This window comes from Homo sapiens, chromosome 20 (genome assembly GCF_000001405.40).
Source record: "Homo sapiens chromosome 20, GRCh38.p14 Primary Assembly".
Lineage (NCBI taxonomy): Eukaryota > Metazoa > Chordata > Mammalia > Primates > Hominidae > Homo > Homo sapiens.
Genome location: NC_000020.11, coordinates 40,272,704 through 40,277,045, shown reverse-complemented (window position 1 = coordinate 40,277,045; position 4,342 = coordinate 40,272,704). Strand labels below are relative to the sequence as shown.

At 45.0% G+C, this 4,342-nt stretch overlaps 1 annotated feature.

The window, feature by feature from the left end:
* Positions 2,378 to 2,909: an enhancer, noted in NCBI's record as "OCT4-NANOG-H3K27ac hESC enhancer chr20:38902777-38903308 (GRCh37/hg19 assembly coordinates)". NCBI's record gives its function as "activates a minimal SCP1, AML or CMV promoter by ChIP-STARR-seq in naive and primed H9 embryonic stem cells {active_cell/tissue: H9 hESC(naive and primed)}" and the evidence as "EXISTENCE:reporter gene assay evidence [ECO:0000049][PMID:30033119]".

Sequence of the window (4,342 nt, the reverse complement as noted above, 5' to 3'; positions counted from 1 at the left end):
TTGGAAGTTCTGACATTTGATGACCCTGGAACAGGACTCAGGGGGACACAGAACCCACTCTGGATCAAACAGACCTGGTTGAAAAACCCCAACTCCTACACTCACCAGTTCTTGGACCTTGGAAAATTTTGAGTCTCCATTTCATCAAAGATATTGCATGATGGATATAAATGCTTAACATATACTGCTGGTATACAGTACATGCTCAAAAAAAGGGCAGCTTAAACAATCTCCCACATATCATCTCAATGCATGCATATACAAAAGAATATATATGCCCTTCCCTACATTGCTAGCAAGAATAGTCTCTTAAAGCTCCGCTTCAGAGCCATTTTCTGTTGTTTCAGAACAAACACAGCATATTGTAAATTTTCTGTGTTCCCTCCGAGACAGCTCCAAACAGAAGACAGGGCTGCAGGGAGCCAAAGAGCTGGGAAAATGCACAGCATTTCTGGTTCTGGGGCCTGTTAAGCAATAGGAAAACACCCTTTGGGGATGATTGCTGACAAAAATCCCTTCCTGTTCCAAACTGGAGGCATAGAATGGAGCAGAGCAGGAGGCAAGCCAGCAGTGGTTTCATCTGGGACCAGCTTGCTCATCTGATGAGGCAAAGACCCAGCGCTGGGCTCTCGTCCCACCCCCTTGCATTGTAGGGGAGCCATCAGAATGGGAGGTCGCCATGTTGGCCAAAGGCTTGTCCCAGGGGGCTTGGAGAGTGACAAAAGTTGCACAGAGTCCTTTTTCAGGGTGGTCTCTGACAGGGACAGAGAATCCAGGAAAAGTTTTGTTGATAGAACAGTAAAACAGAAACACATTTTTGGGAATGACACTTCCAATTTGGGGTCCAACCTCCTAGACAATATTGAAGCCTTGGTATAAAGAAAATGCTCAGTCCTTCAATTTGGGGTTCAGAGTGCATGGGTTTCCTCCCTATAATTGCTCTTTTTCTTTCCTTGAACACAAAAGAAAGTTAAGCGCTGCATTCCAGGATGGACCCAGAGAGAGAATGATCCATTTATTAAGAGCAGAGGAGACGGTTTCCAGAGGATCTGTAGGAAAATGCCCTTTGCCGGCAGGCGCGTGGCGCCCAGGCTGGGCTAAGCTGATTAAAGCTCCATTCAGAATTGCAATAACCCAAAAGATAAGCTGGGGCAACTGATGGGCCTCAAGATTAGCCACTAAACGGATAGCTCTCTCTGGGATTGTGGCTGCTGTATTTTTGGAAACGGGGCACTTTCTTTCCTTTCTTTCTTTCCTTCTTTAAAAAAAATTCTATTTTCTCATGGCTCTGCGTGCGAACCTCATTAATTTCCCAAAGTCTCGGCAGAAGAACAATTGCTCTAATTCCATCTGGCAAGGTTCTAAAGGCTGAACATTTCTCGTATAATATAAAATATATGGAAAATGAAGAGACACACTTATATATGACCCCTGTAATGGATGGCCCAATATACATAATAGGCTACACCCCATATGCAAACACACACATATGTGTATATAAATATTTTTTTCCATGCCTTTCTGCCCTTATCCTGGAATTTTTAGCAATCTGGCCTGTCCCTGCTTATTAATGATGTTTCCAGAGCAGAGCTCATTGGTGCACTTTCAGCAATGGGCTGATTAATAGGTGGGCACGGGGGAGCTCTTTGGAAGCCAGGGCATTGCTGGCTTGTTGACCTTGATGCTCCAGGGGATAGTCTTGTTTCAAACTATGGAATCTCAGTTAGCATCATAAATTGTGGAGCCACTGGTTTTATTGCCCTTCTGCCTCCTGCTGGGAATGTTGTTTCTCTTTAATAATGGGCTGAGCAGCAGCAATGAGCACTTCCCTTCCTCCTCCTCCCTCCAGGACTTGCCCTGTGCATGCTTGCTTTCTTCTCCCCCACCTCCACTCTCTACCTCCCAGCCCTGATCACTAAAGCAGACACATGACACACACGCGCACACATACACTGCACACACAAGCACCAGCTACACACACTTGCATCCATGCAGCTCTCATATGCATACCCAAGCATGTACATGCACACACAGACATGCATGCACACACACACACAGACATGCATGCACATGTGCTCACAGGCTCACACACATATATGTGCAGTAAACACACCCATGTAAATATAGAGATCTGTCATCCTCCTGACTTTTAACTTTAGGACTTAGTAAGGACACCCCCCACCCCGACTTTTCTTGGGCTAAATCAGGCAGGGATTTTCAAAAGGCACTTTTCTAAACATCAAAGAAAAACAGAAAATAACCAATCTGAGAAAATATGAAGATTTCATGCGCGTCCGTGTGAAGAGACCACCAAACAGGCTTTGTGTGAGCAACATGGCTGTTTATTTCACCTGGGTGCAGGTGGGCTGAGTCCGAAAAGAGAGTCAGTGAAGGGAGATAAGGGTGGGGCTGTTTTATAGGATTTGGGTAGGTAAAGGAAAATTACAGTCAAAGGAGGTTTGTTCTCTGGCGGGCAGGAGTGGGGGTCACAAGGTGCTCAGTGGGGGTGTTTTTGAGCCAGGATGAGCCAGGAAAAGGACTTTCACAAGATAATGTCATCACTTAAGGCAAGGACCGGCCATTTACACTTCTTTTGTGGTGGAATGTCATCAGTTAAGGTGGGGCAGGGCATATTCACTTCTTTTGTGATTCTTCAGTTACTTCAGGCCATCTGGTCGTATACCTGGAAGTCACAGGGGATGCGATGGCTTGGCTTGGGCTCAGAGGCCTGACATTCCTGCCTTCTTATATTAATAAGAAAAATAAAACAAAATAGTGTTGAAGTGTTGGGGCGGCGAAAATTTTTGGGGGGTGGTATGGAGACAGAATGGGCAATGTTTCTCAGGGCTGCTTCAAGCGGGATTAGGGGCGGCGTGAGAACCTAGAGTGGGAGAGATTAAGCTGAAGGGAGGTCTTGTGGTAAGGGGTGATGTTGTGGGGATGTTAGAAGAAACATTTGTCGTATAGAATGATTGGTGATGGCCTGGATATGGTTTTATATGAATTGAACAACTAAATGGAATAACAGAAGGAGAAAAACAGGTATAAAAGGTCTAAGAATTGGGACGACTCAGGATATCTGATTAGAGAGTGCCTAAGGAGATTCAGCATAGTCCTGCCAGCAAAGATTATTTATTTACTTCAAGAGTTAAGAGTGGCAGTTTGGGGATAGCACCAGGAGATATCAGCTGTTATGGCTTGGAAAAACAGTGTAAACCGGCAGTGTAAACAAGAGCAGGGCATGTATGAGTAGTTGAGAACGGTGAATAGGAGTATGACTAGACAGAAGATAGTAGGGATGACAAGTTTTTTGGGGGCACAGTCTAAGTTGGTCTGGTGTCTGGAATGAGACTGGGGCCTAATAAAAAGGAGCGTCTATACAGGAGCTTAAGTGGGCTGTACCCTGTAGCACTCCGAGGACAGGCCTGACTTCTGAGAAGGGAAAGTGGTAAAAGTATTGTCCAGTCCTTTTTAAGTTGGTGGCTGAGCTTGGTGAGGTGTGTTTTTAAAAGACCTTTAGTCCGTTCTACTTTTCTTGAAGATGGAGGACCGTAAGGGATATAAAGGTTTCACTGAATACTAAGAACCTGAAAAACTGCTTGGCTGATTTGACTAATAAAGGCTAGTCTGTTATCAGACTGTATACAGGTGGGAAGGCTAAACTGAGGAATTATGTCTGACAGAAGGGAAGAAATGACTGCGGTGGCCTTCTCAGACCCTGTAGGAAAGGCCTTTACTTATTCAGTGAAAGTGTCTATTTAGACTAAGAGGTATTTTAGTTTCCTGACTCAGGACATGTTGAGTAAAGCTAATTTGCCAGTCCTGGGTGGGGGGCAAATCCTTGGGCTTGATGTGTAGGGAAGGGAGGGGGCCTGAATAATCCCTGAGTAGTAGTAGAATAGCAGATGGAACACTGAGAAGTTATTTCCTTGAGGACAGATTTCCACGATGGAAAGGAAATGAGAGGTCCTGAGAGGTGGGCTAGTGGCTTGTACTATAGCATAGCCTGCCTTTGCTGGTGTGTGGCGATTAGGCCTGGTGGAACTGCCATCAATAAATCAAGCGTGATCAGGGTGAGGAACAGTAAAGAAGGAAATATGGGGAAATGGTGTGAATATCAGGTGGATCAGAGAGATACAGTCATGGGGGTCAGGTGTGGTATCAGGAATAATGTGAAAGTCCGGGCCAGGAACAATGGTAATTGTGAAAGAGCCGGGGAGCAGAAAGTATATGCGTCAGATATGAGGAAGAAAATAGATTTTGGAAGTTATGAGAAATGTAGAGAGTGAGTTGAGCATAGTTTGTGATTTTTAGGGCCTCTAACAGTATTAAAGCAGCGGCA